The following is a 25531-nucleotide window of genomic DNA, read 5'->3' as shown; positions in this document are numbered from 1 at the left end:
TTTAGACACACATGCATATGCACACACAGGACAAATTAAGAACAATGAACATGAATCAAATTGGCAATTTCCAGTGATTTTAGAGGTAAACTAGAAATCTGCCCTGGCCTCCATTCTCAAATGAAGCCTAAATTTGACCTAGGGTGAACACTTCCTGGGGTGCCTATGTGGCCCCTGCTTCTGGGGACTCAGAACACCCACAGGCTTGTGTTGGGGGCAGCCATAGTTACATGATCCTGCCTTCCTCAGTCCCATTCCTGGCTTCCGATGATTGTTCAGGGCCCAGCACCCAGCTGAAGTTAGGTTGATCAGAATCCCCTCCTTAAGAATTTGGTGGCTGGGCCCAGTGGCTCACGCCTGTAATCTTAGCACTTTGGGAGGCCGAGGCAGGCGGGTTACCTAAGGTCAGGGGTTCAAGATCAGCCTGGCCAACATGGTGAAACCCCGCCTCTACTAAAAAAGCAAAAAAAATTTTAGCTAGGTGCAGTGGCACGCAACTGTAATCCCAGCTACTTGGGAGGCTGAGGCAGGAGAATCGCTTGAACCTGGAAGGCGGAGGTTGCGGTGAGCCGAGATCGTAACACTGTACTCCACCCTGGGCGACAGAGCAAGACTTCGTCTCAAAAAAAAAAAAAATTTGGTTTGGAGACTGGGGCTGCCATTGCCACCATGTAGGAGATCTCAGGCAAGAGAACAAAGCAGGGGCACAGACGGAAGGCAGTTCTCTTTGAGATCCTGGTTCTGCGGGTAGTTTGCTTTTGAAGCCCAACTTTGAACTCTGAGAAGCACACCTGTATCTTTATCTACATTCTTTATTTTTCACTTTATCACATTTGACGTTTGCTATTTGCTACCAACATAGTCCTAACTAAACATTTTTTAGCAAAGCACCCCCTGCCTCCTGCCCCCACTTCTTTTCTGACTCTTGAGGTCAGAAATCCTGCACATTTTGCTTTTCAAATGGATATGTCCATGGGGCCCATGTTTGGCCTGTGAATACAGGACACGCATGTCCAAACGAAGGGCCTATTGGAGGTTTCTGAAAAATACCTTCATGTGGCCGGGCGCAGTGGCTCACGCCTGTAATCCCAGCACTTTGGTAGGCCGAGGTGGGCGGATCACGAGGTCAGGAGATGGAGACTGTCCTGGCTAACACGGTGAAACCCCGTCTCTACTAAAAACATACAAAAAATTAACCGGGCGTGGTGGCGGGTGCCTGTAGTCCCAGTTACTCCGGAGGCTGAGGCAGGAGAATGGCGTGAACCCGGGAGGCAGAGCTTGCAGTGAGCTGAGATCGTGCCACTGCACTCCAGTCTGGGCGACAGAGCAAGACTCCGTCTCAAAACAAACAAACAAACAAACAAAAAACCTTCATGTGGCTAGGTGAGGTGGCTCACACCTATAATCCCAGCACTTTGGGAGGCCGAAGTGGGCGGATCGCTTGAAGTTGGGAGTTTTGAGACCAGCCTAGCCAACATGGTGAAACCCCACCTCTACTAAAAAAAAAAAAATTAGCCGGGCATGGTGGTGCAGGTCTGCAATCCCAGATACTTGGGAGGCTGAGGCAGGAGAATCACTTGAACCCAGGAGGCGGAGGCTGCAGTGGGCCGAGATCATGCCATTGCACTCCAGCCTGGGCAACAGAGCAAGACTCTGTCTCAAAACAAAAAACAGGCCGGGCGTGGTGGCTCACGCCTGTAATCCCAGCACTTTGAGAGGCCGAGACAGGCTGATCCCTTGAAGTTGGGAGTTTGAGACCAGCCTGGCCAACATGGTGAAACCCCATCTCTACTAAGATACAAAAATTAGCTGGGCGTGGTGGTGCGTGCCTGTAATTCTAGCTGCTTGGGAGGCTCAGGCAGCAGAATCACTTGCACTTGGGAGGCAGAGGTTGCAGTGAACCAAGATTGTGCTACCGCACTCCAGCCTGGGTGACAGAGTAAGATTCTGTCTCAAAAAAAAAAAAAAAAAAAAAAGTAAACAAAAAAATAGACTGTAGAGAATCTTTCAGTGAGGTAAGGAATCATCTCCATCCATTTTTGGGTGTATGTGCAAACTTGCTTAAGTTGCTGTCAACTTTTGAAGGCTCCAGATTTTCAGTGTCTAACACAACCACCTGGGCCAGATGTAAGTAAGGACAGGATAACGTAAGCGTGCACAGTAGCAGAAGCAGAAACTCAAGGCCCTACGTTTTGAGCGTGTGAGGAAGGAGCGTTCTCTCAGAATCCTGGAGCTGACTCTGTCATGGTTCAGAGATCAGCTTGCAGGGACAGGCAGTGGCAGTCGAGGTGGTGACAGACCCCAAAAGCACATACCCTATACAACCGAACACACACTCAAGTGTGGAGCCTGCGTATTCCATGGTAGTTTCAAGCATATTGTTTATTAAATGGTTTCATAAGACACTTCTTTGCGGGAAACCTGACAATCTGTTCCTTGTCACTTGGACAGCTTTAACAATCAGGTAGAAAAGAAAGCTCCCTTCGGCCATGTGAAGTAAGCCCGAGGTCAAACTAGCCTGACACTAGGAGCTCCCAGGAGAACCTTGAAAACGTGTGCGATTCTGAGTCGGTGTGCAGAAACGATTCTCTGCGAAGAGGGCCCTGAGCTGTCACCAGCTTCTCGCAGTCAAGGGACCCCCAAAAGGTGCAGAATCCCGCCTGTCACCGTCCCTCTAGGGATCCTAAGCGAGTAAACCCCGAGAGGCGTCCGAAGGCTGGCAGTTTGGCAGCGTGAACTCTGGTTTTCCAGAGCGCGGGCAAAGCCTGGAGTAGCAGTTGCTCCTTTGCTCTGGCAGGAATCTGGGGGTCTACCCTGCGCAGATAATCCCGTCCTGCCTGCAGCTGGGGTTCAAGACCCGCTTCTCTGAAGTCCGCCTCCCAGCGGCCTGGAGCCCGGGGCGTGGTCGGCTCGAATCTGCTCCCCAGGCCCAGAACGGAGCCCGCAGCCCGTAACCCGCTGTGGCCGCAGCGGGTCGCGCCCTTCGTCCCCGCCTCAGGAGCGGCCGAGGATCTGCCCAGCTGCGGGCGCCAAGCCCTGGCCGCACTCCTTTCCCCGGCGGAGGGAGCCGGCTGGCGCTGCGGCCTTCAAGGCGCGCGGACGTCGCGGAGGGCAGCCAGTCGCGCGGGAGCGGGTAGCGCGCGCGAGGGCGTTGGGCGCCGCCGCGAGGCGGGGAAGCGCGGGGCCGCGGCGGTGCGGGTTCTAGGGCGGCGGCCGTCGCCGTCGCAGCAGCGCCCCGAGCGGGGAGGGCCGAGGAGGCCCGACGAGCTGGGGATGGAGAGTACCGGGCCCCTCACTGCCTCAGAGCGCGTGTGCGGCTCTGGGCGCGCACAGTGACGGTGACGGCACCCCTGGCCCGGCAGCGCCGAGGCCGCTTCGCCAGACAGCCAGCGGCCGGCGGCAGGCCGGGCCATGAGCGGCAGGGGCCGGGCCGGGCCTCGCTGACCCTGGCTCCGCGCGGCAGCTTCCCCAGTTTCCGCTCCGGTCTCTCGGCATGAGAGTCCGCCCGGGCCCGGGGCTGCGGCTGCCCCAGACCCGCCGCACGCTGGCGCGCTCCGGGCCCGCGGAGCCGCGGTGCTGATACCTGCGCCGCACTGCGCCGCCCGCCCGTCCGCTGTGTGCCCCGGGGGCGCGGCCATGGAGGTGGTGGGTGACTTCGAGTACAGCAAGAGGGATCTCGTGGGACACGGGGCCTTCGCCGTGGTCTTCCGGGGGCGGCACCGCCAGGTGAGCGCCGGCCGGGGCGAGGCCGGGCCCCGGGCGGCAGGCACGGGGCTAGGTGGTTCTGAAACTTGGCGCAGCCGCGAGCCGAGACCCCCGACTCGGCTAGCCGCCCGGGTATGCTATTGTGCGCGCAGCCCGTCTCGCCGTTTGTTTTGGTCCTGTGAGGGTTGTTGTGAGGCCCAAGCCTCTGGCAGCGCTCCGCCTACCGACCGGCTGCTGCTGATCCTCCTGTGTGCCCGGGGCCCACCCCGCGGTCCGCCCGCAGGAGCGTTTGCACCCAGGTTACCCTGGACCCAAAATAGACGGTACTGCACCGTGCAGACTCGAGGGTTGGGCGTGAATGGACCTTTGGTTTTTTTCCCCGTGCCCAGGGCTGGTCACTTTTGAGGTTGATAATTACAGACCCAGCGGAAAATGGGCGGATGTCCCATTAGCCTCAGGCTTTCGCAGCCTGGGAGGTGTCACCTTTCCCAGCACTGGTCCCCTGCACCCCGAAGAGCCCCCGTACCGTTTTCCCCCCCGGAGTCAGATAGACGAGCTCCGGGTGAGAAAGGTGGTTGGACAATTCATTTTCAATCACCTTGAACATGAAATCACCTTTAAGCCTTAAAAAAATTGTTTTAAGCCTTTGCTGTTTCGCAAGTACAGTTACACGAGGTTTTAGAATCTAAAGAATTTGGAAAGGCATATCGGGAGTGGAAATAATCTTAAAGGGTGTGGCAGTTCTGATTGTTGCCCAAGGGGCGTGTTAAAAGTGGGCTGACTTTGTTGCTTATCGGATGAAGTAATGCTACTTTTCTTATTTATTTATTTATTTATTTTTGAGACAGAGTCTCGCTTTGTCGCCGAGGCTGGAGTGCCGTGGCGAGATCTCCGCTCACTGCAACCGCTGCCTCCCGGGCTCAAGCGATTCTCCTGCCTCAGCCTCCTGAGTAGCTGGGATTACAGGTGCCCGCCACCACGCCCGCCTAATTTTTTTTTTTTTGTATTTTTAGTAGAGATGGGGTTTCACCACGTTGGCCAGTGTGGTCTTGAACTCCTGACCTCAGGTGATCCGATCTGCCCGCCTCAGCCTCCCAAAGTGCTGGGATTACAGGTGTGAGCCACGGCTCCCGGCCTACTTTTCATTTATTAGGAAAATAATTTAGAACTCAAGCACGGTGTAATCCTTCCAAGCTAACAAATAACTTTTCAATTAACTGTATCACCTTCCAAGTTTATTTCTACATTTGTCCATAACTTTGAAGTGGTTGTGAACTGTTCTTTTTTCATTTAATGTTAGTTACCATGTGGACTTCATATTTGTTATTTTTAGAAGTTGTGTTGTAGGATCTTGGCATATTGCACTATAATTTATGAAATCACTTTCCAATTATTGAAAATAATTCCATTTTTCCCCAATGCCGTACATTTATTTGCCAAAAACACCTTCGCGCTTGTAAATTTTTTTCTGTTATTTATGTGGAATGGTATCTAGGAGTAACACTGTTTTTCCTTTTCAGAAAACTGATTGGGAGGTAGCTATTAAAAGTATTAATAAAAAGAACTTGTCAAAATCACAAATACTGCTTGGAAAGGAAATTAAAATCTTAAAGGTATGTTACTTTATGTAGTAGTATTCATATAAGGTTAAAACTTAATTTAAATGAATACATGCTGCCATCCTTTTCAATTTTGGTAGTTGGGTCCAAGTTTGAGAATTTTCAACTGTTGCTCTCCTTTTTGCATGCTCACTTTTTTAAAACATTGAGTACTCGGAAGCTATTTTTAAGAACCAAAGCTCAGAGGGATTCTGTGAAGACTGAGTTTAGCTTCTCATCATTTCTCTTTTTCCTAGTGACTGTGTTGTTGTTTGAGAAGAGGGCCAGGCAGACCCATCTTGTACATTGTTTTTACCTCTCCTGTTGTCCCCTTTCATGTTACTACTAAGTTTTTTGGGGGGAGTAGGGGTGCTTGGGGTCTTTCTTTAAATTGAAGAAAGTTATATTCCTTGGAGGTGGCCTTTTTAGATCACTCACAACCAGTGTTATCTAAGTGGGATGGTTTGAGAAGATGGTTGAGTACGTTTGGAAAACCCCATTTACTAAATACTTCTTGGAGAGTCACAAAGCCTATGGCTCATTAAAGAAAGTCTGAAAAATTCTACAATGAAGAAACTTGTTTCAAAGTACTTAACCTGGTGTTTTCCAAACTAATACAAGCGTGGAACCCTCATTTAACACCCGATTTCCTCAAAACTGCTTCCTGTGGAGAGCTCTTTTTTAAGAATTGTAGCTCTTTGAGCTAAAAATCATATTTTCTTTCAGTGAGATAATGTGCTTTTTGTTTGATCAGGCACATTTCTTATTCTTTAATTGAATTTTTATAGTCTTAATATAAGTATAATACTAGAAGTGTATGTGTATACTTTAATTTTATTTACATATTAAAATATAGTAAAGTCATTAGAATACTTACATATTTTTCATTCTCAATTTTCTTAATAGGAACTTCAGCATGAAAATATTGTAGCACTCTATGATGTTCAGGTACCTTATTTTGAAAATTTTTAAAAATTAAAATAAATTTTTTTTAATTTCATACAGATTTAAGTGACTCTTAATAGAAATAAAAATGACCTTAATTCTTGTTGAAAAGATGCATAGCTTGAGTTACATGTTTCTGAATTAAGAAATTGTTTAAAACAGAACAGAGTAATAGGCTGAAAGAATTTGCTGCATGAGTAAGTTTATTAACAATTGATAATACACTATAGGTGTAGCATTGTTTTAGGTGAAGTAGAGGACTGTTGATACCAGATCTAGCATTCTCTGATGAATGTTGAAAGGACAATTAAAAATAGAGCTTTTTTTTTTTTTGATGGAGTCTCACTCTGTCTCTTGGGCTGCAGTGCAGTGGCTTGATCTCGGCTCACTGCAACTGCTACCTCCCGGGTTTAAGCGATTCTCCTGCCTCAGCCTCCCGAGTAGCTAGGACTATAGGTGTGCACCACCATGCCCAGCTAATTTTGTGTGTGTGTGTTTTTCATAGAGATGGAGTTTCACCATGTTGGCCAGGCTTGTCTCGAACTCCTGACCTCAAGTCATCCTCCCACCTTGGCCTCCCAAAGTACTGGGATTACAGGCGTGAGCCACTGCGCCCCGCCTAAATAGAAGTTCTTTTTTTAAAAAAACATTTTTTTTATTTTGTAGAGATAGGGTCCCTCTGTGTTGCTCAGGCTAGTCTTGAACTCCTGGGCTCAAGGGATCCTTCTGCCTCAGCCTCTCAAAGTGCTGGGATTACAGATGTGAGCCACCACACATGGCCTACATAGTGCTTTTTCTTCTTATGAAAGCAATATTTGTAAATTGAAAAAATATTAGAAAATAAATTAAAAACAAGGTCACTATGCATGTTCATCACCCAGTTATATCTATGATTATAGGTTATAGATATATTTGTGTATGCTATGGCATGCAGTAGAGTTGCATTTTATTTGGAATGGGAAGTAGGTTCTAAAGTCAATCACTAAGGCAAAATTTCTGTATAGTCAAAATTACTCTTGGAAATCCTTTTCAGATCTCAGCATTGGAGAAAATTGCTGTTTTCTGGGTGTAGCACCAGATGAAGTAGCTGGCTTATATTTAGGGCCATATTATGTTAAAAAATCCTTCAAATGCAAGAATCAGGCTGGGTGTGGTGGCTTGAGCCTGTAATTCTTGCTACTCAGGAGGCTGAGGCAGGAAGATCGCTTGAGCACAGGAGTTCAAGGCTGCAGTGAGCTGTGATCCTGCCACTGAAGTCCTGCCTGGACAACAGAGCAAGATCGTCTCTTAAAAAAAAAAAAAAAAAAAACTAGAATCACATGTAGCTAGTGTGATACCATGTGAGAGCTGTGGGGACCTGAGACTCCCAGAGGGAATAGCAGATTCTGGTTTTTTCTCCACTGTCACTGCAGGGCAGGTCAGCATGATGATTTACATAATTTCTTTCTTTTGCTTAGTCTGGACGGTTGAATTCGGGTAAGGTAAATGTATATGTTATGTGATCCTATTACATATATATTTCTAGCTAAAACCTCTTCTGTATTCACTTGCATTACTCAAATTCATTCATTTGACAACCTTTTTTTTTTTTGGAGACAGTCTCACTCTTGTCGCCCAGGCTGGAGTGAAGTGGTGTGAGCTTGGCTCACTGCAACCTCTGCCCCCCCGGGTTAAAGCGATTCTTGTGCCTCAGTCTCCCAAGTAGCTGGGATTATAGGCGCCTGCCACCAAGTCCAGCTAATTATTGTATTTTTAGTAGAGACAGAGTTTCACCATGTTAGCCATGCTGGTCTCGAACTCCTGACCTCAGGTGATCCTCCTGCCTCTGCCTCCCAAAATGCTGGGATTACAGATGTAAGCCACCACTCCCGGTCTGCTTTGCAAGTTTTTGAGTGACTATTATGTGCCAGGCATTGTTCTGAGTGCTGGGAATGAGGCAGTGAATAAAACAAAGTCTTTGCTTTCAATATGTTTAGTTTTAGTGGGGTGAGACAAATGGGCTGTTGTATATTTACTTTTTAAAAAATACTGTCATTTTTCAGCTGGGCACGGTAGCTTATACCTGTAATCCCAGGACTTTGGAAGGCTGAGGTAGGTGGGTCACCTGAGGTTGGGAGTTCGAGACCAGCCTAACCAACATGGAGAAACCCCATTTCTACTAAAAATACAAAAATTAGCCAGGCATGGTGGTGGGTGCCTGTAATCCCAGCTACTCAGGAGCCTGAGGCAGGAGAATTGCTTGAGCCCAGGAGGCAGAGGTTACATTGAGCTGAGATTGTGCCATTGCACTCCAGCCTGGGGTAACGAGCGAAACTCCATCTCAAACAAAAAAAAAAAATTGTCATTTTTCATGTGGTCATATCATAACACAAAGTAACTAAACTCATGTTATAAGATGTTTAACTTTTTTTGCCTGGTTGCGATGGCTCATGCCTGTAATCCACACTTTGGGAGGCTGAGGCAAGTGGATCACCTGAGGTCAGGAGTTCAAGACCAGCCTGGCCAACATGGCGAAACTCTGTCTCTGCTAAAAATAAAAAAATCAGCTGGGTGTGGTGGCAGGTGCCTGTAATCCCAGTTACTCAGGAGGCTGAGGCAGGAGAATCACTTGAACCCGGGAGGCGGAGGTTGCAGTGAGCTGAGATCGTGCCACTGCACTCCAGCCTAGGTGACAGAGCCAGACTCCATCTCGGGGGGGAAAAAAAAAAGAAAAAGGATGTTTAAGTTTTTCCTAATAGAAAAATGCTGTAAGAATTATGTATATCTTCTGAACATATTTTTGATTATTTAACTTCAATTTCTAGAATTGGAAAGACCAAGTCAAATAGCATGCACAGTGTTAAAATTTTTGATTGTAGAGTATGATTGCTTTCCAAAAAATTTACAATTTAAACTTCCATCCATGGAATATGTGAATGCAGTGGGTATATTTTATTACCTGTTCAGATAGCTGTTAATTCGTTTCTTCATTTGAGAAATTCAAAGCAGCATGAAAAGGGGAGAAACCTTTTAAGTCAAAACTAAACTCATCTCTCAGTCCCTAGTTGAAATGTTGGTTCTCCTCACTGCTGTTTGTGTAGTTTGTCTTAGTCTCTGTAGATAGAGGGCACCAAGTGGTACAACTCAGTGCCTAGTACCAAAACTGTTAAATAATGTTAACTCTTTAGTTTCCCAATCTTGGAGAGATACAGAAAACCCTGGCAATTGCAGAGTAGGTTTTGTTTTGAAAGTATACTTAGATGATTTTCTTTTTTTTTTTTTGAGACGGAGTCTCGTTCTGTTGGCCAGGCTGGAGCGCAGTGGCGCGATCTTGGCTCACTGCAAGCTTCGCCTCCTGGGTTCACGCCATTCTCCTGCCTCAGCCTCCAGAGTAGCTAGGACTACAGGCGCCCGCCATCATACCCGGCTAATTTTTGTATTTTTAATAGAGACGGGGTTTTACCTTGTTAATCAGGATGGTCTCGATCTCCTGACCTCGTGATCCGCCCACCTCGGCCTCCCAAAGTGCTGGGATAACAGGCGTGAGCCACCGCGCCCGGCCTTGCTTAGATTATTTTCTATCAGAATGAAAAGTATTTTTTAGTACCAGCTTTGATTATAGAATGAGGTATCATTAGGGAGAACATACTAAAAAATGTGAATTGTTAATCAATCAGGAATTTCAGGGTGACTGCATTCAAATGTTATATTATTTTGTACATGGTATACTGTTAGAACTAATTTGTTTTTCTTTTTTTTTTTGAGAAGAAGTCTTGCTCTTGTCGCCCAGGGTGGAGTGCAATGGCACAATCTCAGCTCATTGCACCTCTGCCTCCTGAGTTCAAGGGATTCTCCTGCCTCAGCCTCCTGAATAGCTGGGATTAAGGTGGGAGCTGCATTGGCCAGGAATCGAACCTGGGTCTCCTGCGTGGGAGGCGAGAATTCTACCATTGAACCACCAATGCTTTTAACTAATTTATAAAAACAAATTTAAGAAGTGTCAGGCCAAGCGCGGTGGCTCATGCCTGTAATACCAGCACTTTGGGAGGCCGAGGCAGGCAGATCATCTGAGGTCAGGAGTTTGAGACCAGCGTGACCAACATGGAGAAACCCTGTCTCCACTAAAAATACAAAATTAGCTGGGCATGGTGGCACATGCATGTAATCCCAGCTACTCGGGAGGCTGAGGTAGGAGAATCTCTTGAACTGAAGAGGCGGAGATTGCAGTGAGCCGAGATCGCGCCATTGCACTCCAGCCTGGGCAACAAGAGGGAAACTCCGTCTCAAAAAAAAAAAAAAAAAGAGGTATTAATCAAATGTCTTAAGTATTTGGCTATTAAATAGAGTTTTGACCTAATACTTTATATTTGTTTTATTGATTGAAATTGTTCATCAAGGGGTACAGTATGTTTAGGAATTAATACAGTAACTATCAACTTGAAGTGAATGTCATTTTTACTGACCATTAGTTTTGGTTATCTGTCCGAAGTTTATAAATTGGGAACTTTTGCTATTGTAAAAATCAGCTTTCAGTTTAGATGACACTTAAAAAGAAATGCATTTTCCCACTAATTCCAAAAGTAATATATACCCACAGTTAATCAAATACTGTGTGAATGGTAAATTAGAAAAGAGATGGCAATTCCCAGGGATAACCACTCTTTGGTATATTTGTTTTAGAATTTTCTAAACATTTATACTTAGTTTTTAAAGCTTTTCATTTTGAGAGAATTAGTAGTGTTTGTACAGAAATGCAACTTGTTTTATTAAGCTTAATGTATCTTAGATACCTTTTCATAATCAGTATAGTATTGTAGGGCTAAATGATAATTTACTTAAAACCCAATTATGAGCCAGGCATGGTGGCTCACACCATAAACTCAGTGCTTTGGGAAGCTGAAGCTGGAGGATTGCTTGAGGCCAGAAGTTCAAGACCAGCCTGTGCAACATAGTGAGACCCTGTTTCTACAAAAAATAAAGTTAGCCAGATGTGGTGGCGCATACCTGTGATCCCAGCTACTTGGGAGGCTAAAATGGAAGGAAGGCTTGAGCCCAGGAACTTGAAGTTACAGTGAGCTGTGATTGCACCACTGGCCACTGTACTCCAGCTTGGGTGACAGAGTGAGTCCTGTAGCTTAAGAAACCACCGAATTATGGCTATTTGGAGTGTTTCCTATTTTTTCCCTATTGGAAACAGTATTGCAGAGAAAGATGTGTGCATATATCTTTGTGTGTTTTTATAGTGTTCCTGTAGAATAAATTCCTTGAAGTGGAATTGCTTGGTCAAAGATATTAGCTATCTTTTAAAAGATTATACCAATTCTTTCTGTTACCCAGGCGGGAGTGCAGCGACAGTCTCAGCTCACTGCAACCTCTGCCTCCTGAGTTCAAGTGATTCTCTTGCCTCAGCCTCCCAAGTAGCTGGGATTACAGGTGCCTGCCACCACGCCTGGATAATTTTGTTTTTGTATTTTTAGTAGAGATGGAGCTTCACCTTGTTGCCCAGGCTGGTCTTGAACTTCTGACCTCAGGTGACCCGCCTGCCTCAGCCTCCCAAAGTGCTGGGATTACAGGCCTGAGCCACCGCACTCAGCCTATACTAGTTCTTTTTAACCAGTAGTGACCTTTTTAAAAAAAATTTTTATAATCTCACACTAGGAAAATATCTTTTAAAACATTTTTAAATTATATTTACTTAATTAATAGAGATGAGGTCACTATGTTGCCCAGGCTGGTCTCGAACTGCTGGACTAAAGTGATCCTCCTGCCTTGGCTTCCTAAAGTGCTGGGATTATAGGCGTGAGCCACCATGCCCAGCCTAATTTTATTACTTTTCTTTCTTTCTTTCTTTTTTTTTGAGACGGAGTTTCACTCTGTTGCCCAGGTTGGAGTGCAGTGGCACGATCCTGGCTCACTGCAACCTCTGCCTTCTGGGCTCAAGCAGTTCTCCTGCCTCAGCCTCCCAAGTAGCTGGGATTACAGGCGCCCACCACCACAACTGGCTAATTTTTGTATTTTTAGTAGAAATGGGGTTTCACCATGTTGGCTAGGCTGGCCTCGAACTCCTGACTTCAAGTGGTCCACCTGCTTCGGCCTCCCAAAGTTCTGGGATTACAGATGTGAGCCACTGCGCCCAGCTGGTATTTTTTTTTTCTTAAACCATTAGGGTATCAGTCATCTTTTTGCTGTATTTGTCTTTTTACATTTCTTCTGTGACGTTCCCATTGCTGTCCTATGATGCATAGGTTGTGTTCATTTTTCTTACTGGTTTATTTGTGACTAGTATTTCTTGAGCTGGTTAATGAGATGTACAGGCGTATAGTGGTGAACAAAGTAGAAATGGTCCTTGTCATTGTGGAACTCTTACAGGATATTAGGGAAGATGACATTAAGCAAATAGTTACTATTTCTTTTTTTTTTCTTTTTTGAGACAGGGTCTGGCTCTCTTGCCCAGGCTGGAGTGTGGTGGCATGACCACACCTCACTGCAGCCTCCACCCTTTGGGCTTAAGCCATCCTCCCACCTCAGCCTTCAAAGTATCTGGGACTACAGGCAGGCACCACCATGCCTGGCTAATTTTTCTATTTTTTGTAGAGATGGAGTTTCACCATGTTGCTCAGCCTGGTCTCAAACTTCTGAGCTTAAGCGACCTGCCCAGCTTGGCTTCCCAAAGTGCTGGGATTACAGGCGTGAGCCACCACACCCGGGCCAATAGTTACTATTTCCAAGTGTGCCAAGTGCTGTAAGGGAGAGCTCTTGGCGAGGTTTGAACAATATGGGGCCTAGGAAAATGGGACAAGGGAAGGCTTCCTGGGGAAATGATATCTGTAGAGACTGAGGGATGGGTGGGAGAAGGCTAGGTGGGGGTTAATGGGAGAAAATAAAGTAAGTTTCCCAAGGAGATGAAGGCTTCTGTAAAGACCACTGACAGGAGAGATCACTGAGTTTGAGGAACTGGAAGAAGGCTAGTGTGTCTGGAGTACAGTAATGAGAGCGAGAGCATAGTGTTAGATGATACTGGAGAGGTTAGCAGGAGCCAGATCTGATCTTTATCTTAAGGACAGTACAAAGCTATTGAAGAGTTTTAAAAGCAGGAGAGTGATACCGTTTTTGTTTTTCAAAAGATAAATCTCCTAGAGCACTCTGAGCATGAGATAAGTACTTTCACTTAGGAATACATAACTGTGTGATTGTCAGTGGCCTGGTTAAATATCTACCTCTTGGTAATTTTTAGTATCGCAAGAAAAAGATGATTAATTTAATAGGTGGTGCTCATAAAACTGAGACATCTGACAAAAAATAGAATTGGAACACCATTCTCATCATTTTCCAAAATCATTTCCAAATGAATTAAAAGCTTAAATATATAAAGTAAACAATAACAGTCTCAGAATAATATTTAAATGACTGTACAATCCAAGGGATGGAAAGACATTTTAAATCAAGATAAGAAACTCAGAAGCTGTAGTATCAGAAGCTCTAGTAGGGACATGTAAAACATTTTTTTTTTTTTTTTTTTGAGACAGAGTCTCACTCTGTCACCCAGGCTGGAGTGCAATGCCGTGATCTTGGCCCACTGCAACCTCCACCTCCCAGGTTCAAGCAATTCTCCCTGCCTCAGCCTCCTGAGTAGCTGGGATTACAGGCGCCCCGCCACCACACCTGGCTAATGTCTGTATTTTTGGTAGAGACGAGGTTTTGCCGTATTGGCCAGCCTGGTCTCGAACTCCCGACCTCAGGTGATCTGCCCGTCTTGGCCTCCCAAAGTGTTGGGATTACAGGTGTGAGCCACCGTGCCTGGCTATAAAAAATTTTAAAACTCTTTTTTTTTTTTTTTTTTTTTTTTTTTGGAGATGGAGTCTCGCTTTGTCACCAAGGCTGGAGTGCCGTGGTGCGATCTCGGCTCACTGCAAGCTCCACCTCCTGGGTTGACACTATTCTCCCACCTCAGCCTCCCGAGTAGCTGGGACTACAGGCGCCTACCACCATGCCTGGCTAATTTTGTTTTTGTATTTTTTAGTAGAGACGGGGTTTCACCGTGTTAGCCAGGATGGTCTCGATCTCCTGACCTTGTGATCTGCCCGCCTCGGCCACCCAAAGTGCTGGGATTCCAGGCGTGAGCCACTGCACCCGGCCGTAAAACTCGTTTTATAGCAAATAATACAATGAACAAATTGACATATATAAAAAGGAACAAACGATACATGTCATAACGTGAATTTCAAACTTTTTTTTTTTTGTGTGTGTGACGGAGTCTCGCTCTGTCGCCCAGGCTAGAGTGCAGTGGCGCGATCTCGGCTCACTGCAAGCTCTGCCTCCCAGGTTCCCCTCATTCTCCTGCCTTAGCCTCCTGAGTAGCTGGGACTACAGGCACCTGCCACCATACCCGGCTAATTTTTTGTATTTTTAGTAGAGATGGGGTTTCACTGTGTTAGCCAGGATGGTCTTGATCTCCTGACCTCGTGACCCGCCTGCCTCGGCCTCCCAAAGTGCTGGGATTACAGGCGTGAGCCACCGCGCCCGGCCTCAAACATTATTTTGAGAAAAATAAGCATGCCATATACTGCTACAGTATAATTCTGTTTTTGTGAATTTTGGGAAGAGTCAGAAGTAAGCTAGGGTGATAGAAATCAGAACAGAGGTTGACTCTTGGTCCCAGGGAGTGATAGGAAAGGGGCATGAGAGAACTTCTTGGGGTGATGGAATTGTTATGTATTTTGATTGGCAGGGTAGATACGTAGGTGTAAACATTTGTCACAACACATTGAACTGTACATTTATTTTTATTTTTAAATACTTATTTAGAAATGAGGTCTTACTCTGTTACTCAGGCTGGAGTGCATTTCTTCTGTGGTGCCATCATATCTCACTGCAGCCTCTAACTCCTGGGCTCAAGCGATCTTCCTGCCTTTGCCTCCTGAGTAGCTGTGATTACAGGCCTGTGCCACCATGCTCAGTGTATACCGTTATTAAAAAGAAAGAGCTATTTATATCTGGGTAAGAAAGAATGTTGGTATCAATGGAGACAGAGGCCTGGACAGATTAGTGAGATGTTTAGGAGATAGAATTGTTAGGACTTGGGCACTTGGACTGTAGGAGGTAAACAAGAGGGAATCAGAGTTGATAGCTCTTTGTCATGTTTTGAGATATTTTTCCCATTTTGTTTGGTATTTTTGTGGGGGGGTCTTACTTTAGACTTTTTTTCCTTTTTTTTTTTTTTTTTTTTTGAGATGGAGTCTTGCTCTGTTGCCCAGGCTGGAGTGCAATGGCACAGTCTCGGCTCACTACAACCTCCGCCTCTCGGATTCAAGTGATTCTCCTGCCTTAGCTTACCCAGTAGCTGGGATTACAGGCACCTGCTACCACACCCGGCTAATTATTGTATTTTTAGTAGAGATAGGGTTTCTTTTCTTTTTTTTTTTTGAGATGGAGTTTCGCTCTGTCACCCAGGCTGGAGTGCAGTGGCGCGATCTCGGCTCACTGCAAGCTCTGCCTCCCGGGTTCACGCCATTCTCCTGCCTCAGCCTCCCGCGTAGCTGGGACTACAGGCGCCCGCCACCATGCCTGGCTAATTTTTTGTATTTTTAGTAGAGACGGGGTTTCACAGTGTTAGCCAGGATGGTCTCGATCTCCTGACCTTGTGATCCACCCGCCTCGGCCTCCCAAAGTGCTGGGATTACAGGCGTGAGCCACCACGCCTGGCCTAGCCTCTTTTTTTTTTTTTTTTGAGATGGAATCTTGTTCTTTTGCCAAGTCTGGAGTACAGTGGCGCACTCTCAGCTCACTGCAACCTCTGCTTCCTGGGTTCAAGCAATTCTACTGCCTCAGCCTCCTGAGTAGCTGGGGTTATAGGCACCTGCCACCAAGCCCAGCTAATTTTTTGTATTTTTAGTAGAGAAGGGGTTTCACCATCTTGGCCAGGCTGGTCTTGAACTCCTGACCTCGTGATCCACTCGCCTCTGCCTCCCAAAGTGCTGGGATTACAGTCTTAAGCCACCATGCCCCCGCCGTGTCTTTAATATATGGAAGTTCCTACATGGTAGAATTTATCCAACCTGTTATTTAATGACCCCTAGGTTTCATATTATAGAAGATTTCTTTACCCTGAGCTTATGAAAATGATTCCCCATGTTTTCATCTAGTACTTAGGGTTTCATTTTTTCATATTTATATTTTTGATCTCTGGAACTTAGTTATGTACAAAGGGATAATGTAGGGACTCAACTTATTTTCCAGAAAGCCCAACCAGCTATCCCAGACTCTTACCTGTTTTTGAGGATATCTACAGAAGAAGTCTTCTGTAAGACTGTTAAAAAGAGTTAGGACTTAGGGAATTTGAAGAATTACAGCAAATCAGGGTCAGATTAGGTGAGAATCAATTTATAAATTTATTAATCAGTATTATATATTCTGAATATTTTTGCAACCTTTGGTATAATTAGTATTAATGAGATACACATTGAAGGAGAGTTTTTCCACAAACCTATGTTGGGTTTGTGTTAGATCAGGAAGCTAGAAATGCCTTTTTTTGTGTGTGCTTTTTTTTTTTTTTTGAGATGGAATCTCTGTTGCCCAGGCTGGAGTGCAGTGGCGCAATCTTGGCTCACTGCAACCTTCGTCTTCTGGGTTCAAGCAGTTCTCCTCCTTCAGCCTTCCGAGTAGCTGGGGTTACAGGCATGCACCACCACACCCAGCTAATTTTTGTGTTTTTAGTAGAGATGGGTTTCACCGTGTTGGCCGGGCTGGTCTCAAACTCCTGACCTCAGGTGATTGGCCCAGGGATTACAGGTGTGAGCCACTGTGCCTGGCCAGAATTGGCTTTCATATGTTGTATTTTGCATCTCTAAGTTTTGTAGAACTTGATTTGCTGTGGTGTCAATCAATGTTCATGTCCCTCCAAAATTCATATGTTGAAATCCTATCACTCATGGTGATGTTATTAGAAGGTGGGGCCTTGGCCGGGCGTGGTGGCTCCCGCCTGTAATCCCAGCACTTTGGGAGGCCGAGGCGGGGGGATCACGAGGTCAGGAGATCAAGACCATCCTGGCTAACAAGGTGAAACCCCATCTCTACTAAAAATACAAAAAATTAGCCGGGAGTGGTGGCAGGTGCCTGTAGTCCCAGCTACTCGGGAGGCTGAGGCAGGAGAATGGCGTGAACCCGGGAGGTGGAGGTTGCAGTGAGCTGAGATTGTGCCACTGCACTCCAGCCTGGGCAATAGAGTGAGACTCTTGTCTCAAAAAAAAAAAAAGAAGGTGGGGCCGAATTGTAGGAATGTTTCTTTTCTCTTTTCCTGTGAGATAAACCATAGAAACTGCCTGAGGGGTGGAGAATGAATTAAGAATATAGCAGAGAGATGTGAGGATTTGGGTTTAGAAACCAGGAATTAGGCCAGGTGCGGTGGCTCATGCTTGTAATCCCAGCACTTTGGAAGGGCAAGCTGGGCAGATCGCTTGAGTCCAAGAGTTTGGGACCAGCCTGGGCAACGTGGCAAAACCCCGTCTCTAGAAAAAATACATAAAAATTAGCTGGGCGTGGTGGTGCACACCTGTGGTCCTAGCTACTCGGGGGTGCTGAGGCAGGAGACTCGCTTGAACCCTGGAGGTGGAGGTTACAGTGAGCCAACATCACACCACTGAATTTCAGCCTGGGTAATAGAGCGGGACCTTGTCTCAAAAAAAAAAAAAATTAAAAAAATTTAAAAAAATGTCACTTTAAAATAAAAAAGAAACCAGGAAGTTTTCTTTGAATTGTCTGGCTTGTCATTTACTTTTCTGTTGCTTTGTATCATGCTGCCATTTTCTCTACTTCTGCTTCTAGGCATCTGAATTTACTGGAGAGAACCACCTACTCATGTTATTTTGACTTTTAAAAATTGGCCGTGCACGGTGGCTCACGCCTGTAATCCCAGCACTTTGGGAGGCCGAGGTGGGCGGATCACGAGGTCAGGAGATTGAGACCATCCTGGCTAACACAGTGAAACCCTGTCTCTACTAAAAATACAAAACAACAACAACAACAACAAAAAACTAGCCAGGTGTGGTGGCGGGTGCCTGTAGTCCCAGCTACTCGGGAGACTGAGGCAGGAGAATGGCGTGGACCCTGGAGGTGGAGCTTGCAGTGAGCTGAGATTGCGCCACTGCACTCCAGCCTGGGCCACAGAGCGAGAATCTGTCTCAAAAAAAAAAAAAAATTTACTTTATTGTTTTTTTAAATTACAAAAGTAAATGACCTTCAGTATAAAAACACTTTAAATAGCCTAGCAGTATATGAAGTAAAGAGATGCCCTCTTTTTTTTTTTTTTTTTTGAGATGGAGTCTCGCTCTGTCACCCAGGCTAGAGTGCAGTGGTGATCTCGGCTCACTGCAAGCTCTGCCTCCTGGGTTCACACTATTCTCCTGCCTCAGCCTCCCAAGTAGCTGGGGCTATAGGCGCCGGCCACCATGCCCAGCTAACTTTTTGTATTTTTAGTAGAGATGGGGTTTCACCGCGTTAGCCACGATGGTCTTGATCTCCTGACCTTGTGATCCGCCTGTCTCGGCCTCCCAAAGTGCTGGGATTACAGGCGTGAGCCACTGCGCCCAGTGCTTTTTTGTTTGTTTGAGATGGAGTCTTGCTCTGTTGCTCAAGCTGGAGTGCAGTGGCGCGATCTCAGCTCACTGCAAATTCCGCCTCCTGGGTTCAAGCCATTCTCCTGCCTCAGCCTCCCAAGCCGCTGGGACTACAGGTGCGTGCCACACTGCCCAGCTAATTTTTGTATTTTTTTTTTTTTTTTTTTTTTTGAGATGGAGTCTCATTCTGTTGCCAGGCTGGAATGCAGTGGCGCAATCTCGGCTCACTGCAACCTCTGTCTCCCGGGTTCAAGCGATTCTCCTGCCTCAGCCTCCTGAGTAGTTGGGACTACAGGCATGTGCCACCATGCCCAGCTAATTTTTGTATTTCTAGTGGAGGTGGGGTTTCACCATATTGGCCAGGCTAGTCTCGAACTCCTGACATCGAGGTCTCGAACTCCTGACGTTGTAATCCGACCCGCCTTGGCCTCCTAAAGTGATGGGATTACAGTCGTGAACCACCGCACCCGGCCGAGATGCCCTCTTCTTATACCTCTCTATTTCCTTTTTCCAGAAGAAGAAACTGTTTTGTGTCCTTCAAGACTTTTTTATTTTTATTATTTATTTATTTATTTTGTGATGGGGTCTTATTCTGTTGCCTAGGCTGGAGTGCAGTGGCGCGGTCTCAGCTCACTGCAACCTCCACCTCCCAGGCTCAAGCGATTCTCATGCCTCAGCCTTTGGAGTAGCTGGGATTGCAGGCGTGCACCACCACGCCCGGCTAATTTCTTTGTATTTTTAGTAGAGATGGGGTTTCACCATGTTGGCCAGGCGGGTCTTGAACTCCAGACCTCAGGTGATCTGCCCACCTTGGCCTCCCAAAATGCTGGGATTACAGGTGTGAGCCACTGTGCCCAGCCTAATTTTTTTTTTTTTTTTTTTTTTTTTTGAGGGGAAGTCTCACTCTGTTGCCCAGGCTGGAGTGCAGTGGTACGATCTTGGCTCACTGCAACTTCTGCCTCCTGGGTTCAAATGATTCTTCTACCTCAGCCTCCCAAGTAGCTGGGATTACAGGTGCCCGCCACCATGCCTGGCTAATTTTTTTTTTTTTTTTTTGGTATTTTTATTAGAGACAGGGTTTCACCATGTTGGCCAAGCTGGTCTCGAACTCCTTAGCTCAGGTGATCCACCCGCCTCAGCCTCCCAAAGTGTTGGGATTACAGGCATGAGCCACTGTACCCGGCCATTTTTTAATTGTTAGTAGAGATGAATTCTCCGTGTGTTGCCTAGGCTAGTCTTGAACTCTTGGGCTCAAGTGATCCTCCCACCTTGGCCTTCCAAAGTGTTGGGATTACAAGTGTTAGCCACTGGGCCCAGCCCAAAAGCTATATATCTAGATATAGATAGGTCTAGATCGATCTAGACCTATCTATATATATTTTTTGAGACAGAGTCTGGCTCTCTTGCAGGCTGGAGTGCAATGGCATGATCTCGATGATCTCGGCTCACTGCAAGCTCCGCCTCCCAGGTTCATGCCATTCTCCTGCCTCAGCCTCCCAAGTAGCTGGGACTACAGGTGCCCGCCACCACGCCCGGCTAATTTTTGTATTTTTAGTAGAGATGGGGTTTCACCGTATTAGCCAGGATGATCTCGATCTCCTGGCCTCGTGATCCGCCTGCCTCGGCCTCCCAAAGTGCTGGGATTACAGACGTGAGCCACCGCGCCTGGCCAAAAGCTATATTTTGAATTACATTTGCACACTGGCTCAAGTTAAGCCACAGGGAAGTTCAATCTAAATTTTAGTTATCGTTATAAAAATTGCCATTGAAGAGCCAGCTAATCAGTCTTTGAGTTACTTAATCAACAGCAGACCTGGAGCTATATGGATTTGAGAGACTTTTTAAGAGCCCTCAATTCATTTCCTCAACATTGTGGAACATGTGTTGATAATGTGATAAAACATTTCCCTTTGCCACCAATTGCTGATAATGCGATTGCCCCAAATAAACATAAAAAACAGAAAAACAAAAAACCAGGCGTCCTGAGTCATATATTCCAGAAATCAGACTGTGCATATAGTGTTGCTAGGGAGGATTATGCTGTTTTGCTGCTCCAAATCATAAACTTTTCAAAGTGGAAGTGTTTCCCCAAGGACCAAAGAATCCTTCCTTTTTCCCCATTGTAAATTTACCATGCTTTTTGTCCTAGATCTGTTGTTTTAGGTCAATCATAACCAAAAGATGAATCTTTCTCTAGTTATTTCTGTAAACAAAATTTTACTTCTTGATGACTACATTAGTGTTACCAAAACTTGATTTGGCTTTGTAGAGGAGATAATTACATCATTGTGTTGGGAATTTTAATTTCACTTTCTAATAGATTTTGTGATTTCATTTTACCAGTTTTAATAATGAACAAGTATGGTATTTTTAACTATCATTATCTTTAAATTTTGTGTTTAATTTTTCTCTAAATGATATTTAATATGTTTACTTTTCAGGAATTACCCAACTCTGTCTTTTTGGTGATGGAGGTAGGTAGTATACAAACTTCTGTTTAATTTATTTCAAATTTCTTTTTTTTTTTTTTTAGATTCTAGCATAAATCTGCATATTTCAAATCCTTTTTGATTAATATGAACTTTAAAATTGGTAGTAGATTATTTGAATTTTTGTATTAATAAAGTTGATTCAGTGATCTAGATTCTACTCAAGGAATATAAAATTTAAAAAATTTTGAATCTATAATGTTTTTAGGCTATATTTACATGACATTATATACAAATGATTTTTTAATCACAATTGAGAATGGATTGAATTAATCTTGAATCACTGTCCTTATTTTCATTACTTTCTCTTTTCTATGTCAGTATTGCAATGGTGGAGACCTCGCAGATTATTTGCAAGGTAACTGTGTATGTGTGTCAGTGTTCAGTAAAGACAGTGCTGCAGCCTGTTTAATCCTAAGAGGTACTTGTGAAATACACTACCCATTTTCTGCTCTTGTATAGAAACATTCAATAAATATTTGTGTATTTGTTTGACTTGTGGTCACTTTGCAGACCAGTTGTTGTTGTTGTTTGTGGTTTTGTTTCTAAGCTTTACTTGTATATAAGTATTTACCTTTTTGTGTGTCTCTCTCTGACAGTGTTTGAGAGATGGTCCTATCCCCAGGAGAGGAGAAACCCGATAGAATTCCTCTCCTTCAAAAGGCTTGACTGAGTTTTAGTCCGTTTCGTTTCTTTCAAAATTAAAAAATTATAGTGGAAAAATATATCCAAGAAGGTATTTATGTGAATATTTCTTGTAATTAAAAAAAGGCAACAAAAATTATAAGGCATTAAAGGTAACATTTAAATTATTTTGTGGTACAGAAGTAAGATTTTAATATTAGATGGTGCTTGAAATTCTGAACCCAAAATGCATACATGTAGGATATGAAGCATTCAGATCAAATTGTGTGCCTCCAGAGTATTTTCTTTTTCCTTTTTTTTTTTTGGAGATGAAGTCTCACTCTGTCACCCAGGCTGCAGTGCAGTGGTGCATTCTTGGCTCACTGCAACCTCCGCCTCCTGGGTTCAAGTGATTCTCCTGCCTCAGCCTCCCGAGTAGCTGGGATTACAGGTGCATACCTCCACACACAGCTAATTTTTGTATTTTTAGTAGAGACAGGGTTTCACCATGTTGATCAGGCTGGTCTCGAACTCCTGACCTCGTGATCGGCCCGCCTCAGCCTCCCAAAGTGCTGGGATTACAGGCGTGAGCCACACACTGGGCCATATTTGATAATTTTTAAACCATAAAGATTTATTTTATTTGAAGATGTTAAGGACATGTAAAACTTGACAGGTCATTAAAATGATTTTAAAACCACAGTATTTCACTTGTTCCAAATACTAATGTTATTTCTCTCTTATTTACAAATGGAAAGGTTATATAGAACATATTCTAAGAATTATATGGACAGACATGCATCACGAATAATTTAAATAGGTACATGGATACTAAATCCTCAGTGTAGGTAAGGAATTACACTTGTGACTTTTAGACTCATTGTAATAAGTATTTGCATACCTGCTACATTGAAATATGTGCAAAGCCTTTTTCTAAAGTTTTCATAATTTTTTTCTTTTTTTAATATAAATATTTTTTGCTAATCTTCTCTGTATTGTTCCAATTTTAGTATATGTGCTGCTGAAATGAGCACAAGTTTTCATTATTAAATGGGTTTTATTTAATCATCATGTCAACTCGTAGTTATTCTCATCAACTTTTATACATGAGGAAGGTGGGCACAGAGGGATTGTCTTTTCAAAAGGGTCACACATTAAGTGGAAGAACTAGGAGTTGAACAAAGGCAGCTAGACTTCAAGTCAAGCTGTTAACCACAACATGCTCTGGCATACACAGAAATAGAATTTACTGAATAGGCTGGTCACGATGTCTCTCAGTGTAATCCCAGCACTGTGGGCAGCTGAGGCAAGTGGATCACTTAGGTCAGGAGTTCAAGACCAGCCTGGCCAACATGGCAAAACCCTGTCTCTACAAAAATAGAAAAATTAGCTGGGCATGGTGATACATGCCTGTAGTCCCAGCTACTTGGGAGGCTGAAGCTGGAGAATCTCTTGAACCCGGGAGGCGGAGGTTGCAGTGAGCTGAGATTGTGCCACTGCACTCCAGCCTGGGGGACAGAGTGAAACTCTTGTCTCAAAAAAAAAATATTTACGGAATAATGACTCACTACTTTCAAATAATGTTCATATCACCTCTTTATAGTGGTGAAATCGGTTAAAACATTTATTCTTAAGGTATTTTTAGTTATGAAAGATAGTGGGACGGGGGTGTGGGAGATAAAAGGACAGAGTAGATGCAGGAACACAGATGCCTCACAGGCACGGGTAGCAGTAGTATCTGATCCCTCTGGTCAAAGATTTTGCTTGTTTTTAATTTGTGCTCACATAATGGTTGGAATTAAATATGGACACTTATTCCAGATATTTGACTAATATGAAGGGAACTTAGCTTTTGGCTTGTAAAGGACATTCATATTTATTGAGTACATATGGTGTTCAGAGTCATGTGGGCACCTTCAGCAGTAAAAACATGAAGGAAAAGCAAAAACCACAGGTGAAACAAAAGGTGAAAGTGCCAGTCAGTTCTCTTTACAACAGATTGACTACAGGTTTTGAGAAATCTGATATCTCTTCATAGTCTTCAATTATTAAAGTTAAAAAAATAAATAAATGTGAATCCAAATTCCTCATTCCCTTCATGCTCTCCTTCACAACCCAATCCTGTTGATGGAATATGCAGATGGTATTTGATTTTGTGTGCTTAAATATTTACGTGACTCCTTTTGTACCAGCGAAAGGGACTCTCAGTGAAGACACGATCAGAGTGTTTCTGCATCAGATTGCTGCTGCCATGCGAATCCTGCACAGCAAAGGAATCATCCACAGAGATCTCAAACCACAGAACATCTTGCTGTCCTATGCCAATCGCAGAAAATCAAGTGTCAGTGGTATTCGCATCAAAATAGGTAAATGGCCATGTATTGTGTCATGGAAAGGACATTTTTTGAAACTATTTTTAGACAACTTTAGCTTTGTTGAATGATGGATTTTTTTTTTTTTTTTGAGATGGAGTCTCGCTCTGTTGCTCAGGCTGGCGTGTAGTGGCGCGATCTTGGCTCACTGCAACCTACGCCTCCTGGGTTCAAGCGATTCTCCTGCTTCAGCCTCCTGAGTAGTTGGGATTACAGGCATGCACCACTACGCCCAGCTAAATTTTATATTTTTAGTAGAGACAGGGTTTCACCATGTTGGCCAGGCTGGTCTTGAACTCCTGACCTCAGGTGATCTGCCCGCCTCAGCTTCCGCAAGTGCTGGGATTACAGGTTTGAGCCTCCACACCTGGCCAGATGATGGATTTTATTGATGCAATCTGATATTTTTATTGAGATCGTGGAGTTCTCTTAGATAGGTGAATCCTTTACATTATTGACAGTTTCTGCCAAGTCTCAGGCAGTGCTGACAGGCCCACATCAGGAGCTCTAAATATGAATACCTGCGTCTCTCGAGAGGAAAATTGATGTGGTGTGCTTACTGGCAGCAAATTAATAACTCTGATTCTTTTTTTGTTTGTTTGTCTGAGATGGAGTCTCGCTCTGTCACCCAGGCTGGAGTGCTGTGGCACGATCTCGGCTCACTACAACCTCTGCCTCCCAGGTTCAAGAGATTCTCCTGCCTCAGCCTCCCAAGTAGCTGGGATGCGCAAGTAGCTGGCATGTGCCACCACACCCAGCTAATTTTTTTTGTATTTTTTTTTTCAGTAGAGACAGGGTTTCACCGTGTTGGCCAGGCTGGTCTCGAGCTCCTGACTTTAGGTGATCTGCCCACCTCAGCCTCCCAAAGTGCTGGGATTATAGGTGTGGGCCACCACGCCTGGCCATAACCCTGATTCTTTACAGTTCCTAGGCTTTTGACGTAGGGATCTCAGAGACCATCTAGTTTAGCCCTTGGCAGTTTTTTTTTAGTAGTACCTCAAAATTATTTGAAACAATAAAAGCATAATTGTTCACATTCTACATCTGGTATTGATATTTAATGAAAACTGTATTAATGAGCTACTTATTATAATTAGCATTTTCACTTGCAAAGTTTCGTACACCTTGGTTACAAATCTGGCAGAGCAGTGACTTGTACAGTTGACGATTACTACTATTTTTAGCTTGCTGAAATCAAGGTAGCTACT

General features: G+C 44.6%; 1 protein-coding gene, 1 non-coding gene and 1 pseudogene across 6 annotated transcripts in view, besides 4 other annotated features; 1 reads left to right on the top strand and 2 right to left on the bottom strand.

Moving 5' to 3' along the window:
- Positions 3065-3654: a silencer, noted in NCBI's record as "silent region_8301". NCBI's record gives its function as "represses an Ori minimal core promoter by ATAC-STARR-seq in GM12878 lymphoblastoid cells {active_cell/tissue: GM12878}" and the evidence as "EXISTENCE:reporter gene assay evidence [ECO:0000049][PMID:35858748]".
- Positions 3065-4001: a biological region, named in NCBI's record as "H3K27ac hESC enhancer GRCh37_chr17:19770366-19770874".
- ULK2 (unc-51 like autophagy activating kinase 2) overlaps positions 3118-25531 on the top strand; it is a 97107-nt gene continuing 74693 nt past the window's right edge. For 3 of the 5 annotated variants that reach the window (XM_047437147.1, NM_001142610.2, NM_014683.4), the window contains exons 1-6: positions 3118-3726; positions 5226-5318; positions 6210-6251; positions 21280-21312; positions 21649-21685; positions 24144-24317. In XM_047437147.1, the coding sequence (XP_047293103.1) occupies positions 3637-3726; positions 5226-5318; positions 6210-6251; positions 21280-21312; positions 21649-21685; positions 24144-24317 (469 nt within the window). In that variant the 5' untranslated portion in view covers positions 3118-3636. Of the gene's footprint in view, positions 3727-5225; positions 5319-6209; positions 6252-21279; positions 21313-21648; positions 21749-24143; positions 24318-25531 lie in introns of all 5 variants that reach the window. The other 2 variants (XM_017025425.3, XM_047437148.1) reach the window with 1 other exon arrangement.
- Positions 3493-4001: an enhancer, noted in NCBI's record as "H3K27ac hESC enhancer chr17:19770366-19770874 (GRCh37/hg19 assembly coordinates)". NCBI's record gives its function as "activates a minimal SCP1, AML or CMV promoter by ChIP-STARR-seq in primed H9 embryonic stem cells {active_cell/tissue: H9 hESC(primed)}" and the evidence as "EXISTENCE:reporter gene assay evidence [ECO:0000049][PMID:30033119]".
- Positions 3735-3914: a silencer, noted in NCBI's record as "silent region_8300". NCBI's record gives its function as "represses an Ori minimal core promoter by ATAC-STARR-seq in GM12878 lymphoblastoid cells {active_cell/tissue: GM12878}" and the evidence as "EXISTENCE:reporter gene assay evidence [ECO:0000049][PMID:35858748]".
- Positions 10122-10192, bottom strand: TRG-CCC3-1 (tRNA-Gly (anticodon CCC) 3-1). Its single transcript has one exon. It is a non-coding gene; the product is annotated as a tRNA-Gly (tRNA).
- LOC124904110 (uncharacterized) lies at positions 22930-22985 on the bottom strand (annotated as a pseudogene).

This window comes from Homo sapiens, chromosome 17 (assembly GCF_000001405.40).
Source record: "Homo sapiens chromosome 17, GRCh38.p14 Primary Assembly".
NCBI lineage: Eukaryota > Metazoa > Chordata > Mammalia > Primates > Hominidae > Homo > Homo sapiens.
Note: the sequence above shows the minus strand (reverse complement) of the source record. Positions and strands in the feature narration are given on the sequence as shown.